This window comes from Homo sapiens, chromosome 6, assembly GCF_000001405.40.
Source record: "Homo sapiens chromosome 6, GRCh38.p14 Primary Assembly".
Taxonomy (NCBI): Eukaryota; Metazoa; Chordata; class Mammalia; order Primates; family Hominidae; genus Homo; species Homo sapiens.
Window position 1 is genome coordinate 24,649,304 of NC_000006.12, and position 18,422 is coordinate 24,667,725.

At 39.4% G+C, this 18,422-nt stretch overlaps 2 protein-coding genes across 3 annotated transcripts in view, besides 3 other annotated features; one reads left to right on the forward strand and one right to left on the reverse strand.

Moving 5' to 3' along the window:
• TDP2 (tyrosyl-DNA phosphodiesterase 2) lies at positions 676-17,596 on the reverse strand. Its single transcript, NM_016614.3, has 7 exons — positions 17,395-17,596; positions 17,223-17,308; positions 9,258-9,431; positions 8,509-8,600; positions 5,109-5,227; positions 3,680-3,850; positions 676-1,766 (listed from the first exon to the last, which is right to left on the reverse strand). The coding sequence occupies exons 1-7, from the start codon at positions 17,557-17,559 to the stop codon at positions 1,485-1,487; spliced, it is 1,089 nt and encodes a 362-aa protein (NP_057698.2). The 5' UTR covers positions 17,560-17,596; the 3' UTR covers positions 676-1,484.
• Positions 16,642-17,314: an enhancer, noted in NCBI's record as "H3K27ac hESC enhancer chr6:24666173-24666845 (GRCh37/hg19 assembly coordinates)". NCBI's record gives its function as "activates a minimal SCP1, AML or CMV promoter by ChIP-STARR-seq in primed H9 embryonic stem cells {active_cell/tissue: H9 hESC(primed)}" and the evidence as "EXISTENCE:reporter gene assay evidence [ECO:0000049][PMID:30033119]".
• Positions 17,315-17,986: an enhancer, noted in NCBI's record as "H3K27ac hESC enhancer chr6:24666846-24667517 (GRCh37/hg19 assembly coordinates)". NCBI's record gives its function as "activates a minimal SCP1, AML or CMV promoter by ChIP-STARR-seq in primed H9 embryonic stem cells {active_cell/tissue: H9 hESC(primed)}" and the evidence as "EXISTENCE:reporter gene assay evidence [ECO:0000049][PMID:30033119]".
• Positions 17,518-17,812: an enhancer, noted in NCBI's record as "tiled region #5933; HepG2 Activating DNase unmatched - State 1:Tss, and K562 Activating DNase unmatched - State 1:Tss". NCBI's record gives its function as "activates a minimal TATA promoter and a strong SV40 promoter by Sharpr-MPRA in HepG2 and K562 cells {active_cell/tissue: HepG2 | K562}" and the evidence as "EXISTENCE:reporter gene assay evidence [ECO:0000049][PMID:27701403]".
• ACOT13 (acyl-CoA thioesterase 13) overlaps positions 17,774-18,422 on the forward strand; it is a 37,970-nt gene continuing 37,321 nt past the window's right edge. For both annotated transcript variants that reach the window (NM_001160094.2, NM_018473.4), the window contains exon 1: positions 17,774-18,041. Coding sequence is in view for 1 of the 2 variants with exons in the window: in NM_018473.4 (NP_060943.1) it covers positions 17,961-18,041 (81 nt within the window). In the remaining variant the exon portion in view is untranslated. The remainder of the gene's footprint in view (positions 18,042-18,422) is intronic.

An 18,422-nucleotide genomic window follows, 5' to 3' on the forward strand; every position in this document is an offset into this window, starting at 1 on the left:
CTATGATGTATGCTACTCTACTATTAACATCTATTCTCATTTTTTATTTTATTTTTGAGATGGAGTCTCACTCTGTTGCCCAGGCTGGAGTGCAGTGGCACGATCTTGGCTCACTGCAAGTTCTGCTTCCTGGGTTCGTGCCATTCTCCTGCCTCAGCCTCCTGAGTAGCTGGGACTACAAGCACTCGCCATCACGTCCGGCTAATTTTTTGTATTTTTAGTAGAGACAGGGTTTCACCGTGTTAGCCAGGATGGTCTCGATCTCCTGACCTCGTGATCCACCCGCCTCAGCCTCCCAAAGTGCTGGGATTACAGGTGTGAGCCACTGCACCCGGCCCTCATTTTTTATTTTTAATGATTAAAATTATGATTAACATTTAAACTTTTTCGTTGTCACTACAAAGGGAATATTATATATAAATATCTTTTTTTAGGTGTTTAAATTTTGGCACTCCTGATATAAATAAGATTCTATTACTTCTAATTATTCTCGCTGGCTTTTTTTCAGACAAAGGAAGCAGATATATTCTTGGTAATTCTTGGTGGAGTGAGAAGCAAATGGAAATCTGTTTTCTTCTACACAAAGAGGAAGAAGCAGCAGTAGAGCCAGAAGCAGGAAGCAGATAAAAAATTTAATCTCATCATGGACACAAAAACATACTAAAACAAACCATAAACAAATAAAATTCTTTATTTAAATTTCTCTTGTGGGGAAAATATTTTTCTTTAAAGCACACTTAAAAGTAATTTGCATTTACTTCCTGTAAAGCATTTCCATTTCACAATTAGCAAAACTAAAAGGCTATGTCTCTTCATGCATTTATTTTTGTTAGAAAAATGTCCCATGGTGCTATCAAACCGATTTTAACCATCATCAAGCTTAACTTTGCCTCTGTTGACAACATGACTACAAACATGAATCAAAAAGGAGTTAAGGAATTTTAAGCCATAAGGTTTCAATTATAGCTTACCAATTATGTAATTAGCTGACAAAAATCAAGTCTGATGTAGAATAGCTGTCATCTACTTAACTGCAGATAATCATGGCATTTTCATTTAAGATGATCTGAACTTATGAAATAAAGGATCCAGTCCCAAGAACTCAATAATCTCTTATGTTTTCTTTTGAAGACTTATTTCAAATATTAACTATTTCGGTGCCTGAATGGAAAAATATAAACATTAGCTCAGAGACAATGTGGTACCTGTTTGGAATCCAGCTGGCAGCTATAAGCACCGTTGAAAACTCTGACAGGCTTTGTGCCCTTTTTATTAAATGGCCTCACATCCTGAATGCAGGAATGTGTTCGTTTAAATAAACATTAATCTTTAATGTTGAATTCTGAAAACACAACCATAAATCATAGTTGGTTTTTCTGTGACAATGATCTAGTACATTATTTCCTCCACAGCAAACCTACCTTTCCAGAAGGTGGAAATTGTATTTGCAACAATCAGGGCAAAACCCACACTTGAAAAGCATTTTACAATATTATATCTAAGTTGCACAGAAGACCCCAGTGATCACTAGGAAATCTACCACAGTCCAGTTTTTCTAATCCAAGAAGGTCCAAACTTCGGGGAATAATGTGTCCCTCTTCTGCTGCTGCTCTGAAAAATATTCGATCAAAACGAAGTTTACAAGCAGCAGTTATTCCAAGATTAGAGTTCATTTGTGTATCCCATGTATACTGGCAATGTTTAGGTTTGCCCAAAAACTCCCAGACATCCACAATGTTGTTGGGTAAACCACCACATCTGGTAACCTGAAAAGAAGAAGAATACTCTCTAAGATACACATAGCCTTTTGCCCACTAACTTAAAAAAAAAAAAAAAAAGGTGTTTTTGCTATTACCGTGCAAGAAATTATTAATGCAGAAATGCAAAACAATGAGATACATTATAAAAAGTACTATGCTGCATAGTGGTATGTAATATAAAAATATCAAGACAGCCAGAGGGGTTTGGAATTTGCCCCTTCTCTTCTGCCATAAATAGGTTCCTAACTTTGGGTTTCAGATAAAACTTAGAAGGCTGAATATACATGGCCTGTTACTGCTGTTATCTGTTTTCAAAAACTGAACTCAAGTGAAAAGAAGGCAGAACTGCCACTCTACTTTAGTCTACAACTTCAGAAGTATAGCATTCATATGATCCAAAAATTTCAACTGCCTTCAGTTTTATTTGAAGTTTATTAATAATATTAATTCTGTTTGCTCATTCACACTCCAGGATTTAAAAAAATTGTTTGCGGTAAAATATACACAATACAAGATTTATCATTTTAACAATTTTTTTTTTTTTTGAGGTGGGAGTCTCACTCTGTTGCCCAGGATGGAGTGGTGCAATCTCGGTTCACTGCAACTTCCACCTCCCAGGTTCAAGCAATTCTAGTGCCTCAGCCTTCTGCATAGCTGGGATCACAGGCATGTGCCACAATGCCCGGCTAATTTCTGTATTTTTAGTAGAGATGGGGTTTCACCGTGCCGGCCAGGCTGGTCTCGAACTCCTGGCCTCAAGTGATCTGCCCACCTCGGCCTCCCAAAGTGCTGGGATTACAGGCATGAGCCACTGTGCCCAGCCATTTTAACAATTTTTAAGTGTACAGTGATGTAGCATTAAGTATATTCACATAGTTGTGCAACCATGACTACCATCCATCTCCAGAACCTTTTAATCTTCCCCAACTGAAACTCTGTACCCATTAAACACCAATTCACCATTCCCTTATACCCCCAGTCCCTGGCAAACACCATTCTACTTTCTGTCTCTATGAATTTGACCAGTTTAGGAAATTCATAAGAGGAATCATATAGTATCTTTTCCTTTTTGGATTGGCTTCATTCACTCAGCATAATGTCTTTAAGATTCGCCCATATTGTAGCATGTGTCAAAGTTTCTTCATTTTAAGGGTGAATAATATTCCACTGTATACATATAGCACATTTTGTTTATTCATCTGTCAGTGATATTTGGGCTGCTTCCACCTTTTAGCTACTGTGAATAACACAGCTGTGAACATCCATGGGTAGACAAAATACATTCAAATCCCTGCTTTCACTTCTTTTGGGTATTTACACCTAGAAGTGTAATTGATGCATCACATTAGTAATTCCATGTTTAATTTTTTAAGGTCCTGAAAAATCCCACTGTGTCTCAACTGAGCTATAGGCAGGGAGAAAGAGACTTTGTTTCAGACCTGGAGATCTGGACATGGTGGTGGCAGGAAAAGTGGGTAAAAAAGGCTAATAAAAGCCAAAAAAGAAAAAAGAAAAGGAAACCTCAGAAAAAAAGAGAGTCAGGAACAATTATCACGGTCCAATCTTTCCATTGTTCTCATATTGCACCTAGGAATACTGCAAAGAAACAACCTTTTCTAAACTCTTCTACAATCATTTTCTCTACCTTTCTTTCTAATCCTATATATATATATATACACACACACATATAGTTTAGTGTTGTCTATTTCTCATGCACATTTTTATTTTCCTCCAAAAAGAGCCCCTTCTTCCCCTAGGCATACAGCATAGGCTAAACAAATATTCGCTGAATTGCAAGGTCACTTAAGACATTTTGAGTGACTAAAGGTCCTAGTTTTAACAGCTTTGGTCAAAGGAACCTAAATTAGTCTCCATAGCAATAATCTGTCCTCAAACATCAAACTGACTTTGTCACTCACCTCTCGATCCCTTAGATTTGTATCTCCTGCAAATATAACTGTAGCTGACTCTGGAGCCTCTTGCATTTTCTTTAAAACCATTTTTAACTGATTCATTCGTTCCGCAGCATGCCCTCTGGTGCTCTCCAAATGGGATGTCATAAGGCAAAGCTCATTTCCTGACACGTTCACCTGCAGCAGGACAAACAGTCATTAAAACTGTCCACTGACTATTAATACTGAACTTTAATAATAAAATCAGCAGATTGTTCTGTCAAATGGTATATATTTACTAAACTGAAACTGTAAAATCAGCACTATGCCTATCCCTCCGGATCAAAAGAAGTATTAAAGCAGTAACCCTGTCCCCAAAGACGACGGTTTAGCAAGCACGACCTACCCCCAGATGTCACCTCCACTGTGAACCTTTCCCCAGTGTCCCCAGGCCATCAGCGGCTCCCTCCTCAATACACCAAAGGCATGCTGAACAGACTGTTTCAAAGCCCCCTAGGCTAAATTAAAAGGACAATTATTTCCCTCCTACAAAGCCATAAGTCATTTGCAAAGCAGAGATGATTCTTATTTATTGCTGTATTATTAAGGGCCTGGCATACAGGTATTCCAAAAAAGTCAGTTAACTGAATGAATGAGAATCATTTACCATTTGCAATTAAGACACCAACAATGTACAATCTATCATTATACTAAGTGTCTGCAGAATCAAGTCTAATTCTTTCATATTGGTCATTCATGCTCTTCTATAATCAGGAGCCTACCTACTTCTCAACCTGTCACATTTGCCTCTCCATGGCCCCTACACTCAACTGAATAGAATGCTCATTCATACTCATACATGTACACCTCTTGCAACTTGCAAAAGTTTGCTCATGGTGGTTTCTCTACTTGGACTCTTTTTAATATGTATGTCTTACATATTTTTCAGGGTTCATTTCAAATACCATCTCCTCTATAAAACTCTCACTAAACAATCTGGCTAAAAGTCATCTCTCCTTTCTCTAAACTTCCACACATCATTTATACCTCTCCTGTGGCACTTATGCCTTTCTTATGTTTTAGTTACTATATACACACTCTCCCTTACTAATCTATATACTATATCAGAGCAAGATCTATTTTTCATTTTTGTAAGTCTCATAGAGTAAAATATAGCAGCATGTATAGAGTAGAAAGTAAAAACATTACTTTAGGAAGCAAATGTGGAATGTCAGCAAACTCAAATATTCTTAAGAAAACAATAGACTGAGAATTCTATCTGCATTTAAAATTTATGTAAAAAATTAATTTTAGAGAGTGTTAAAGACTATCTAAAAGAATCTACATGTGTGAAGCAAATTTTTCTCTAAAGGCAATGGTTTTAAAAAGAATAATAACACAAAACTATGAAAAAATCTTTTTTTTATAAAACACTCAATTTTTAAAAATTACTCACATGCACACATAAAAGGTTTCTCATCATTTTGGTACTTGGAAAAGGAATAATCTCTTGGCTTTTTAATTTCACTCTTGATTTCTTCAACATTATAGCTGTGAAATATCCTTCTTCATGACCTACAAATGTTTGTGGAAAAGAATTTAGGCTGAGAAGGTGAGAGTTATTTTCAGTTTACCACAAGTTTGCCTATTGAAGAATTTTATAGCAAACAGGTAACAGATATTTACATGGATCTAAATCTTTAAACTATTATTTCAAAATAGTTCATCATGGCCAAACAAGTCTACCTCCTCCCTCCCAAATTTTAGCTAGAAGCTTAGAAGAAATAAAATAAAATAAAAAAAGACCAGGCACAGTGGCTCATGCCTGTAATCCCAGCACTTTGGGAGGTCGAGGTGGGCGGATCACCTGAGGTCAGGAGTTTGAGACCAACCTGACCAAAATGGAGAAACCCTGCCTCTACAAAACACAAAATTAGTCGGGCGTGGTGGCACATGCCTGTAATCCCAGCTACTCGGGAGGCTGAATTAGGCAAATCACTTGAACCTGGGAGGCAGAGGTTGCGGTGAGCTGAGATCGTGCCATCGCACTCTAGCTTAGGCAACAATAGTGAAATTCCGTCTCAAAATAAATGAATAAATAAAAATGAAAAAAAATGTAAACAAGTGCCAAAAAATAATGCTGCCAATATCAGATGAGAAAATTTGAGAAATTTCTGAAAGACACAGAGTAGATGAGATGAACTGTGGCCAGCTGATAGCCACTTACTACTTCTCATACTAGAAGTTTCAGAAAAATTATAGTAAATGAATAAAAATCTAGAAAGATATAAACCTGCAAGAACAGAAAATAGGAGTAGAGGCCATGAATGAAAGCTTCCAACAGTTTTTCAGAAAACAGAAAACAGATGGAGAAGTGGTAACCGGTTTATCAGAAGAGAAGGAAACCACTTGAGTGACTGTAGCAGAGAACCATAGACAGGAAGCAAGCAGATTTGTTCCACCAAAATCTGGAAACACTTAGTGCTTGAACATAAAGGTACCACAAAAGGTAAGGTGCTGAGCTAAGAAGAGGAGGGCCAGTTCAAGGTCTGGATATGGGGTTAAACAACCCCCAGGTTTCCTCAACTCCTTAGAGCTAAGTGACTGTCCCTCTATTAACAGGAGACTACAGTTTTACATAGAACTAAATTTTAGAGGCTCCAGAGTCACCAGCCACAGGGAGGGGCATGCATGTTAGCCCACGGCTGATAGGTGAATAGGTTGAACACTGATTAAGTAAAGTGTGCCTACTCAGCTCCCTTCCCCTCACCTGCTTCCAGAAGGTAGGCAAAACAAGCACACCACCCCAGTCCCAACACCCAGAAGGCAGAAAGCTAAATAACTCTTTTTTGGAGAAACAAAATGGTCTCAGATTAAAGGCCTGTATATACCAACACACTGACAATTGTGGGTCTCCCTCAAATGAATAAGCAGTTTGCTCTACAATCAATCCCTCACCCCTGTCCAGTAAGGTAAACTACTTAGCCTTGCTCAGGCATACTAAACTGTAATCAACATTTTAGTGTTTGGTGTTTAAATGTGAACCAAAAGCCAAGGATCCCTACATATTTAAGGAACAGGTCTAACATGACATGATGGATACTGACATAACATAATCAAAATAAACAAAAAGAAGGAAATAAAAACAATGCAGGGAAAGAGATTAAAACCTAAAACAAACAAAAAACTAACAAAAAAGATACTGTATCCATAAACCAAGAAAAGTGTGCCATAAAAAAGATATTCAGTGAATAGGAGGCCTAGGAAATTAAAATAATGCTATCTAAAAGTCAAGATAGTTGCCAAGAAAGTAGAACAGTCAATAGAGATAGGAGAATAAGAGAAAGTTAAGAAAATTCAAGGATCAACCCAGGAGATCCACCGTTTAACAGAGGGAATTCAGAAAAATGGGAGAGTAAAAAAACTTAAGGGAGGAAAGAAGAGACAGGGAGAAAAGGAAAGAGAAATAACAAAGATAATGAAAGGAGAGGCGAGGGGAATGGTGGGAGGGAGGGAGAGGGAAAAGGATTTTCCAACTAAGGTTTTCCACATATTAAAATTCCACAGAATAAAAGTTCCCACCAAGCATTCAGTACAATAGATTTTAAAAAGACCCAAAGAACACGAGGGTTAAAAAGAAGACCCTCAAAGCTTCCAGAGAGTAGGGAAAAAGAAAAGAATAAAAATTAGAATGGCATCAGCCTTATCACCCATCATCAATAATGGAAACTAGAAGACATTGAAGAATGCCTTCAGAATTCTGAAGGAAAACATCTATTTACCCAGATACCTATCTTCAGCCAAACTATCAAGAACTACAAAGCTACGACACAGACATTTTCAAATATGCTGGGATTCAAAAACTTCACTATCCATGCACTATTTCCTAGAAATTAATTAGAGAAGGTGCTCCAATAAAATAAGGAAGTAAACCAAGAAGGAAGCATGGGAATCAGAAATCCTAAAAGAATCCCCAAGAGAATACAAAATAGTTCCATAAAGAGAGACACACACAGACTGAGAGAGAACCCTCTCCTTAGAAATTCTCGATTAAGGAGTCGATTGAAACTAAAAATCACATACTATATAAAAATGAAAGTCAAAGAAAGCACTATACAGTTGACACTTGAACAACACAAGTGAACTTCAAGGTCCACTTATACAGATATTTTTTCAGTAAATACGGTTGGTCCTCTGTATCTGCATCCACAACCAAATGCAGGTTGAAAATACAGTCTTCCCAGGACATGAAACCTGCAGAAATGGAGTGCGCACATATAGATGGGTTCTGCAGAGCACACTGAGGAAACTGAGTATGTGCGAATTTTGGTATCCATTGAGGAACCCTAGAACCAATCCTCTGAGAATACCAAGGAAAGACTGTATATGAAAATCACGAGATGTGGCCAAAGTAGTATTTTAAATATATTTAGCAAAAACAAATTAGATGGAAAATTTAAAAACTAAATTACTCAGGGCAAAAAAAGTACAAAAAGAACAACAAAATAAATAAGGAATTATAAAATAAAGACTTTTTGAAAAAGCATAATAACCACAATGTGATTATTTCAGTTAAAACTTTTAACAACTGAATTTCACCAAAAAGGTGTTGTTTCTCAAATTTTAGTAATTTATATTTTCCTGAAAAATCATCCATTTCCTTTTCACACTATTAATATTAAGTTGTATAAAATATTCTCCTATAATTCTTGTAGTATTCTGTGTCTTGCTTATTTTTCTCAAACTTATTTATTTGTGCTTTTTCCTCTCTATGTCCCAATAGACCAACTTTGATTTATCTCTTTCACTGATCTGTTTTTCAAAGAAAAGACAAGTTGAATAACAAAAATTGTTACCTGTAATAATCTCATAATTACTTGATCTCTTCTTTAGGTAGCTATAATATGGGGGAATAACTTCCTGTAGAAATATCACATCTGGGCTGTACCTAATGAAAAACATCAATTTATGACAAATACCAAGTATACCATTTCATTTTCAGCTACCTAAATGAAGGAAATCCCACAACATACCAAAAACAAAAAACCCTCTAGGGCACCTAATATTGAGTGTTTATGCTGATCTTTGATAACTATAAAATGAGAAAGATGTGTGCTATTTATTAATGTAGTACTGTAACAAATATATCAAAAAGAACTAGAAAAACTGACAATAGAAACCGCCATATTGAGAGACTTCAATGGTCCTACACACTAAGAGATGCTTTCAATGTTTCTTTCAATCCTCTTGAAGCAGTTATTAACCACAATGAAGAAAACTGTCCAGAGAACTTAAGTGATTTGGCCAAGGTCACAGAGCCAGCATGGGGCACAAATAGATCTTTTTGGTAGTTTTAATTTCACGTAGTTACGATAAACAAAGTTGAAGAAGAAAACAGTACTAAAAGGCTTCTAACGAAAATTAGTGTTCCCTCTTTGCTGCAGCCTGCAATCCTGCTCTCAGAGGCAATCATCTTAATTCTTCAGATGTTTCTTCTCAGAGCTGGACATTGAACTTAGGTTTAATTCTAAAGCCCACAACCTTGAACTGTTACTTTGTATATACATAAGACACATTACTATTAAATAGAAGTGATAATACTTACAAAGCTAAGTAGGAACACACCCCTCGAGCCCTCTCTGACAGATTGTTTAGATCTAATCCATCAATATTCCAGGTAATGAGAGAGAACATGCTGCCATTTTCTTGCTGAGTATCTTCAGATGGGCTGATTTTAGAAGTGGTGGAATCAGTTGTTTCTTCATTGGTTAGGTCAACACTGGCAAGATCAGAATAAAACATGGCTTTGCAAATAATCTATAAATTGATTAAGAATTATTTTGTATTTGTAGCCCTCATTTTACAGACAAATTTTAAAAGAGCCCTAAAAGTGACACTGTCCTTACAGGGTTAACAAGAATTGCATGCCAGGTTCTAGACAGAAATATAATTGAGCATTAATCACGCTGCACTTTGGCCCACTTCTTTGTACGGAAAGTCATCCCATAGCCCTATATACTGATGACTTGCATCCCCATTGCTCCTATGGGTAGGATCTCTGACATCAGAATCATAAGGCTTTTGTTTAAGCATTGCTTAAGATGTTTTTCAGACGCTGAATTCCAGCAGAAAGCTGACACCAACCAGTTTGAAGACACCCCGACAGGAACCGAATCAGCATGAGAATGCAGTTTCTTCATCTCTAGATCCCATGACTTCATCATTGCACTCTGACCAATCAACAATCCTCACACCTTGGTCCACTCCAAACCTCTTTAAGTCTCAAGCTCCAAACTTCTCAAGGAGAATCTGAAGTTTCCTCCAGTCCCCTGGTTTGGCGGCCTTACAATTAAAATTTTTTTTCTGCTGCAACCTTTGGTGTCTCAGGGTATTGACTTGCAAGCTGTACCTCAACAACCTAGGGCACATGTCCACAAGGTAGTCAGGACTTCCTGAGGGTGTGTCATGGGTGCGTCCTTAACCTTGGCAAAATAAACCTTCTAAATTGATTTAGACCTGACTCAGATACTTTTGGGTTCGTAGATAGATTCTTACTGTACTGTCCAAATGTTTGCTCACTTAGGCAGTTATAAACAACTTAATATCCTTCAATGACATGTGTCACTAGAATAATTGTATAAACTATGATCCCAAATTAGACTCAGAAACGTAGGATTTCTAAATCTTTTTGGAATTTTTTAAAATCATATGTTAAATAAGATCTCATTGTGGCAGATAAATAGGAACTGCAAATTCTTTGCTACTCCCCTTTGAATGATGAAACCTAATGCCCCTCCCCTTTGAATCCAGACCTTAGTAGCTTGCTTACTACAGGGAAAGAATATTCTGGGACTTTTGAGGTTTGGCCTTAAGATAATCTGCCACTTCCATTCAAGGCTTTTGGAACACTCCCTCCAGGAACCCTGGAACTGCCATGTAAAAAGTCCAACCACCCTGAGACTGCCATGCTGGAAAGGACATATGTATGTGTTCCAGTCCATAGTCTTGACTCCACCATCTGCTCCCCCAACCAATACCCCAGACATATGAGTGGAGGGACAAACTTTATTAAAAGGTTAACTCCTAAGCATTTATAAACTATTCATGAATTTTAAAAATAGGTGTCTGAATTTATAATTTTAATGCCAACATTTTAACTTTTCTCCTATACACCATTCACCCAGGTTCCTCAAATATTAACATTTTACTTAACATTTACTTGCTTTATTCTTTTTATTCTGAACCATTTGTTTAAATATTTTTGTATTATTTCCTAAACACGAAGACATGCTTACATATACAGTTATGCACCACATTTGGAGAAGCGTGTCATTAGGTGATTTCATCATTATGCAAACATCATAGAGAGAATTTACACAAACCTAGATGGTACAACAGCCTCCTACACACCTAGGCTATATGGTCTAGCCTACTGCTCCTAGGCTACAAACCTGTACAGCATGCTACTATACTGGATACTGTAGGCAACTGTAACACAATGGCACTTACTTGTGTTCTAAAAATACCTAATATAGAAAAGGTATAGCAAAAATACAGTAATATAATCTTATGGGATCATCTTCATTTATGCAGTTTGTTGTCAATAGAGATGTGGTTATGTGGTGCATAACAGTATACTCTAGTATGATCAACAAGTCAGAAGATTATCATTGATATAAGTTTTTCTTTTTCTTATTGCCTCCTATGGCTAGATTTAATATCTAAAGACCTAGACCAATCTTGCCAATTGTGCTACTAGTGTCCTAATCTAGGATCACATGTTATATTTAGATGGCATGTCTCTTTTAATTTTCTTCAATCCAGAAAAGTTTTTCAGTCTTTGTCTCTCATGACTCTGACATTTTTGAAGAGTACAGGCCATTTATCTTACAGAATGTCCTTCAGATTGGGCTTATGTTTTCCTATTATTTGATTCAGATTATGCATTTTTTGGCAGGAATGTCACAGAAGTGATAGTATGTCCTCCGCAATGCACCATATCAAGCATCTGATATGGAGCTTTCCCATTCCTGGTGATGTTAGCTTTGATCACTTGGTTAAAGTGTTGTTAACCAGATTTCTCTAGTACGAAGTTATAATTTTCCCCATCATAGTAAGTATTTTGTGGGAAAGTACTTTGTGATTATGTAAATATGCTGTTGTTCACTGAACTTTCCTACTAGTTTTAGTATCTGTTGATATCTACCTGAAATAATTATCAATACGGCAGTTCCCAAATGAAGATTTTTTTCTAATTCCTCATGTCTTCCACATTTAATAGATGGAGTTCTACTGTAAGGAAAAATGTTCCCTTCTCTCTTGGACAATGGTATTTATATCAGTATGGGTTCTTTTTTTATGGATTGTAATCTATTCCTACCAAGCATCCTGTTGCTTGGGTTATACCAGATTTCACGGGGAAAGGGTAGGCAGCTTTTAAGCTAGGTCTTGTGCCCTTCTGGCATGTCCCCAACATTTTCTGGGCACCTCCTTACTTTCTAACACCACAGATACCATTGGCTCATCTTGTACTTTTTTTGCCCCTGCTCTGGAATCAGTCATTTCTTTTTAACTTCTTTTTTAATTTTTACATTAAGCCCCTTTCATTCTATGAAATCAGTCATTTCTGAAAAGCCCTTGTTCCTTTCAGTGAAGAATTGTATTTAAAGGCCATGATCTGGGTGCTAGATGAACTTAATGTCAATTTTGTAGCATAAAATATTTTGAATTGTCTCCCTTTTACATAAAAATAACCTTCAAGAGCATAAAAAAAAAGTGCAAAACTTTCTTTTGTGAATTTCATCCTACCCAAAAGTTCTCTTATTCAACAATGAGCTATTAGACTTTTTTTCAACGTCTTACTGTGGGGGAAAGAGAGATCAGACTGTTACTGTGTCTATGTAGAAAGAGGAAGACATAAGAAACTCCATTTTGATCTGTACTAAGAAAAATTCTTCTGCCTTGAGGTGCTGTTAATCTGTAACTCTAGCCTCAACCCTGTGCTCGCAGAAACATGTGCTGTATTGACTCAAGGTTTAATGGATTTAGGGCTGTGCAGGATGTGCTTTGTTAAAATTGTGTTTGCAAGCAGTATGCTTGGTAAAAGTCATCGCCATTCTCCAGTCTCGAGTACCCAGGGACACAATGCACTGCGGAAGGCCACATGGACCTCTGCCCAAGAAAGCCTGGGTATTGTCCAAGGATTCCCCCCACTGAGACAGCCTGAGATAATGGCCTCATGAGAAGAGAAAGATCTGACCGTCCCCCAGCCCGACACCCAAAAAGGGTCTGTGTTGAGGAGGATTAGTGAAAGAAGGCCTCTTTGCAGTTGAGAAAAGAGGAAGGCATCTGTCTCCTGCTCGTCCCTGGGAATGGAATGTCTCGGTATAAAACCCGATCGTACATTCTATTTACTTGGATGGGAGAAAACCGCCTTATAGCTGGAGGTGAGACATGCTGGCGGCAATACTACTCTTTATTGCACTGAGATGTTTGTGTAAAGTCAAACATAAACCTGGCCTACGTGCATATCCAGACATAGCACCTTTCCTTAAACTTATTTATGACACAGAGTCCTTTGCTCACGTTTTCCTGCTGACTCCACCATTACCCTCTAGTCCTGTCGCATCCCCCTCACCGAGATGGGGATAGTGATCAATAAATACTGAGGGAACTCAGAGACCAGTGCCCATGCAGATCCTCCGTATGCTAAGCGCCGGTCCCCTGGGCCCACTTTTCTTCCTCTATACTTTGTCTCTCCGTCTTATTTATTTTCTCAGTCTCTCGTCCCACCTGAAGAGAAATACCCACAGGTGTGGAGGGGCTGGCCCCCTTCATCTTACCACCAGAGAGAAAAAGCCAAGTGATTCCATGCCTGATCAAAGATGTTATTTCCTTTTTATGAAAAGCATTAAAACCAGAAAGGAGAAATTATTAGCTCTTTATTTCTGTCAAATCTTCTGTTTCATAGCTGAATTTAAAAATATATATACTATCATAGACAAAGGTGTTTGCTCATCACATCAGGCCCCTTACCTATCCGGCACACACACCTTTTTTTCCAAGTTTAAAGATATCCAACTATAACTCAATCTACCTCATAAAACTGTAAACACAACCCCTACTTTCCTCAACAGGTGGACTGTCATGGGTGATGTATGGGGAGAGCATGATGGTGTCATTAATCATAGCTTATACTTACTGAGCTCTATATGCCAGGCACAATTCCAAGTGTTTTACATCTATTAGCTCACTTAATCCTTACAACAACCCCATGAGGAAGGGGTTGCACAGATAAAGAAACTGAGGCAGAGAGAGGTTACACAGTTACTAAATAGCACAGGTAGACTCAGAACCATATTACTATCCCCACTGCACAAAGAAATTGAGGCAGAGAGAAGTTACACAGTTACTAAATAGCACAGGTGGACTTATAACCTTTGCATTTTGGCTCCAGAGTCCATGCTCTTATTCACTATGCCATCCTTTCCTCCTCTGTTTCATTGTAATCCAATTCCATATTGATATAGTTTGGATGTTTGTCCCCTCCAAATCTCATGTTGAGATATAATCCGTAATGTTGGTAGTGGGGTCCAGTGGGAGGTGTTTGGGTCATGGAGGCAGATCCCTCATTAATGTCTTGGTGCTATCTTCACGATACTGAGTTCTTCTTGCAAGATCTGGTTGTTTAAAAGTATGTGGCACCACCCCACCCCCTTGCTCCTGCGCTCTCCATGTGATACCTGGGCTCCCCTTTCCCTTCTGCCATGATTGAAATCTTCCTGAGGCCCAGCAGAGGCTGGGGCCATGCTTCCAGTAGAGCCTGCAGAACTGTTAGCCAATTAAATCTCTTTTCTTTATAAATTACCCAGTCTCAGGTATTTATAGCAACACAAGAACCTAATACAAATATCTCTGCAATTTATGCAACACCCACAATATTTAATATTTAATGCAGCAAGAAAAACCAGGCAACTGTATTAAAAATTTCCTTTTGGAAAAATGAAAAGGGAAATAAACTCTAAAACGTTGCTGTACAGAAATACTAAGGGAACAGAAAGGGACTGGCAAACTTTAGGGGCATGATTTGTTGACTTCATTCCTAAGCAGAGGAGGAAGTGCTTTTGTCAGTATATCTGGTGTCTTAGGTTTTATGTGTTAGGCCAGTGCTCCTCAATTTTAAATCACCTGGAGATCTTGTCAAAATACAGATTCTGATTCAGTAGGTCTGGGTGAGACCTAAGATTCTGCATGTCTAACAAATTCCCGAGTAGCAGTGGCACGCTGCTGGTCCAGAGTCCACACTCTAAATAACAAGGCTCTGGGACACGGGCTTTCAATGCTGGCTCTGCATTAGAATTACCTGCACAGCTAATAAAAAAAAAAAAAAAAGCCAATAAGGAATAATGGGCCCCACTCAAGACTAATGAAATTAGAATCTCTGGTTTTTTTTTTAAATTCCCCAGATAATTCCAATATGCAGCTAAGATTCAGCATAGCTGTTTTAAGAGGATTTCCCTTGTCTCTCATCAGAGACACTGAAGATAGATTCTAATGTAGGGGACTAAATCACTTTAGTGTTCAATTTCAATTTTTGTTGATATCCCAGGAATTCACTCCAGAATTGAGATTCCTGCGCCATTCATTTAAGACAGCCAATGCCCTTGCTCAGCAGGGTTGAGTTTTTCTGGTCATAAAATCTTCCAATCAATTTTTTTTTCCCTTTCATTTTTGCTAAAGCCAACATCAAAAATCTAATCAGGTCACAGGCCTTAGAAACACGCTGAAGTTTGCCCCTTCCCCATTTTTCTCTCTTGAGCAAACTAAACTTTAAAACCTCACTCTCATTCATACTTGACCTGAGTTCTGAGAGACAAGAGACCACAGCCTAATCAACACCTTTGCTTGTTTTTGCCAATTTACCATTCCGGGGTAAGAGAATCCTAATAGCCATGACACCATTGATCAGCTTGATCCGCATCTTTTCTGAGGGCCTATTACAGGAAATCCACTTATTTTGTTACTATTTATTGGTTACAATATAGTCTGTTGCAACCAACAGACATTAACTCAGGTTGGTTTGACCAAAACAGGAGAATTTATAAGGAAACAAACATGTCACAGAGCCTGGTACAGAAATACAGCCATGTTTAAGGAAGGGCAGTTAAGGGCTTTCTCTCAATCCTACACTTCAACTTCCCTCTGCTTCATTGTCTCTCTGCAGACCTCTGTTCTCAGCTTCTCTGTACACAAAAAAAGATATGTATGAATCCTCACAGGTGCTAAGTTAACATGTTACAGTTCCAGCTCCATAGGAAGACTCAGACTTGACTCTCTTGGTCCTAATTCTGAAACCAAGGAGAGGATCTGACTGGCCAGTTTGAGCTAGGCAAACACCTCCTAGTCCAACTTGCTCTGGTTAGTAAAACGGGAGCCAGAGACAAATCACTGTGGGTGAGTAAACAATTCCCCAACAAGAGGCAAGACAGAGAAAGGAACCTAAAGAAAATATCTTATCACATCTGTAAGCCAGTGTAGCTGAAAAGACCAAAGGGAAAATAAAGTCTCCACTATGAACAGTCAATTTTACAGGTTGTACATATAGCTGGGAGAATTTTATACATTCAGTAAATATTTATTGGGAGCTTATTATGTGTCAAATGTTGTGTCAGACTTTGGGAAATTAACAATGTACAAAACAGATACTCCTTACTAGATGTGCAGTCTAGTAGGAGACATAAAATAATGAACAGCAATTATAATACGGACTAAGGTATTGTAACAGGGGTCATGCAGGATGCTATAAGAGTACCTAAAAGGGGACTCTTACCCAGACTTAGGACATCAGGAAAAGCTTCCTAGAGATAAATCATGTCTCAGCTTGGGGCTTTAAGACAAATATTAGCAAGGAAGGGAAAAGAAAAAAATTCCAGGCACAGGTAATAAAGATCTTTACGAAGTTTCAAAGACAGGAGAAAATGACCCGTTGGAAAAAAGTAAAAGTTTGATAGGCCTGGAACCTGGAAAGGCAGGTTCTAAGTTATGGAGCCAAATAGTAGAGGGCCTTGTAAGGCAGCTACACTTTTTAAGTGCAGGAACTGGAGAGGGGCACTGAAATAACAGGAGTAGGTGTGCATTAAAAAAAAATAACAACAACAACAAACCTGTTATTCTGGCCGGTCAGCCTAGGGCCTAGAATAAATAAACAATACAGGAAGCAAGGAGACTTCCAAGTTGCCATTTTTCGATAGAAGGTTTAGCCTTCGTTCATTTGTTTCAAACCTCTCGCTTACTTATTTCCTTTCATTTGAGTTAAACATTACATTTCCATCTTTTCCTCCCTGGACCCCAAATCACGTTCGAAGCGACAGTCTGGTGCAGTGTTAGATCCGCTGCTGGGGCGCAACTCCGCGCAGCAGCAGCAACGCAAGCCCTGCTCCTCTGGCTACGCAGCTTGGAGATCTGCCTCAGCATCGTCCGCCCAGCTCCACGGCAGGTCCCAGGACGCGCAGGGCTACCTGGTATCAAACTGCCTCCGTGCGGACTGGCTCCCGCTCCCCTCATCACTTACTAGGTCTTGGGCTCAGAGATGGTTTCAGGTCGGCGTTCCAAGGCGCTCTCCTCCACCGGAGGCTCGAAGTAGGAGTTCAGAGCCCTCTGAAAAACAAAGGCACAAGGGATGAGGTTTGTGCGCTCCACCGACCTAGGTAATGGAGCCGGAAGCGAGGACAGCGAAAGCGTACTTCCATCTCCCAGTCGTTCTCGGCCAGGAAGCACTGAGCCACTGCGGCATCGCAGCTTGCGACCGAGGCAAACTCCACACACAGAAGTCGCCGCTTTTTCACCTCAGGCTCGCCCTCTTCCTCCGCCGCCTCCCTCCCGCCCTCCAGGCAACTCCCCAACTCCATCTTCCTGCCGCCTCTGCACCGCCCCTTTAAGCGGAACAGGAGGCCAACGCGCGGCTCTGCGCAGGCGCCTGTGTCATGGCGCTCCCGCATCAACCGCCCGGCGGGGAAATGCGCTGCTCTCGGAAAACTGGTGCAGCTGCGCCGCAAGGGAGCCGCCGGGGCGGTGGGTGCGAAGCGCGCATGCGCGCTTCGTCACAAGGGTGCGAGGAAAGTCAGTGAGCAAATCGCGGACCACCGGGGCTGCCAGCTCGCCTGACTCCCGGCCTCTTGCGCTCCTAGGGGCGGAGAAGGGTGCGGGCTCTTCGCCCTTTGTGTCCTCCTTCTTTCACTAACTTCTGGACTTTCCAGCTCTTCCGAAGTTCGTTCTTGCGCAAAGCCCAAAGGCTGGAAAACCGTCCACGATGACCAGCATGACTCAGTCTCTGCGGGAGGTGATAAAGGCCATGACCAAGGCTCGCAATTTTGAGAGAGTTTTGGGAAAGGTATGGGAAAGGTAGGGGAGAAGCCGTGGCTTCTAATGAAGGAAAAGAAAGCACCGTGCTTGGTGCCGTTGTGAGCTTTGAATAATTATCTCTTGTTAGGTTGTGTTCTAGTACGCCTGTAAATTCACCTTAGTAATAATGATTATTACTTTAATGGAGCCCCTAAATATGCTGGGTCGAACGCGTAAGTTCTCTATCTAAACATAGATAAGTATGGTTATGACTCGTGGAGACAGTTCCAAGGCTGGGAGGGACTTTGGAGTTTGATCCTTCAACCAACAAACGTCTGCATTGCTCCAGAGAAGAGTAAGAGAAACCTCTGCATTTAAGGCACATTACAGTCTAATTCTCTAGGCTCTAGAAGATTAGAAGATAAATAAT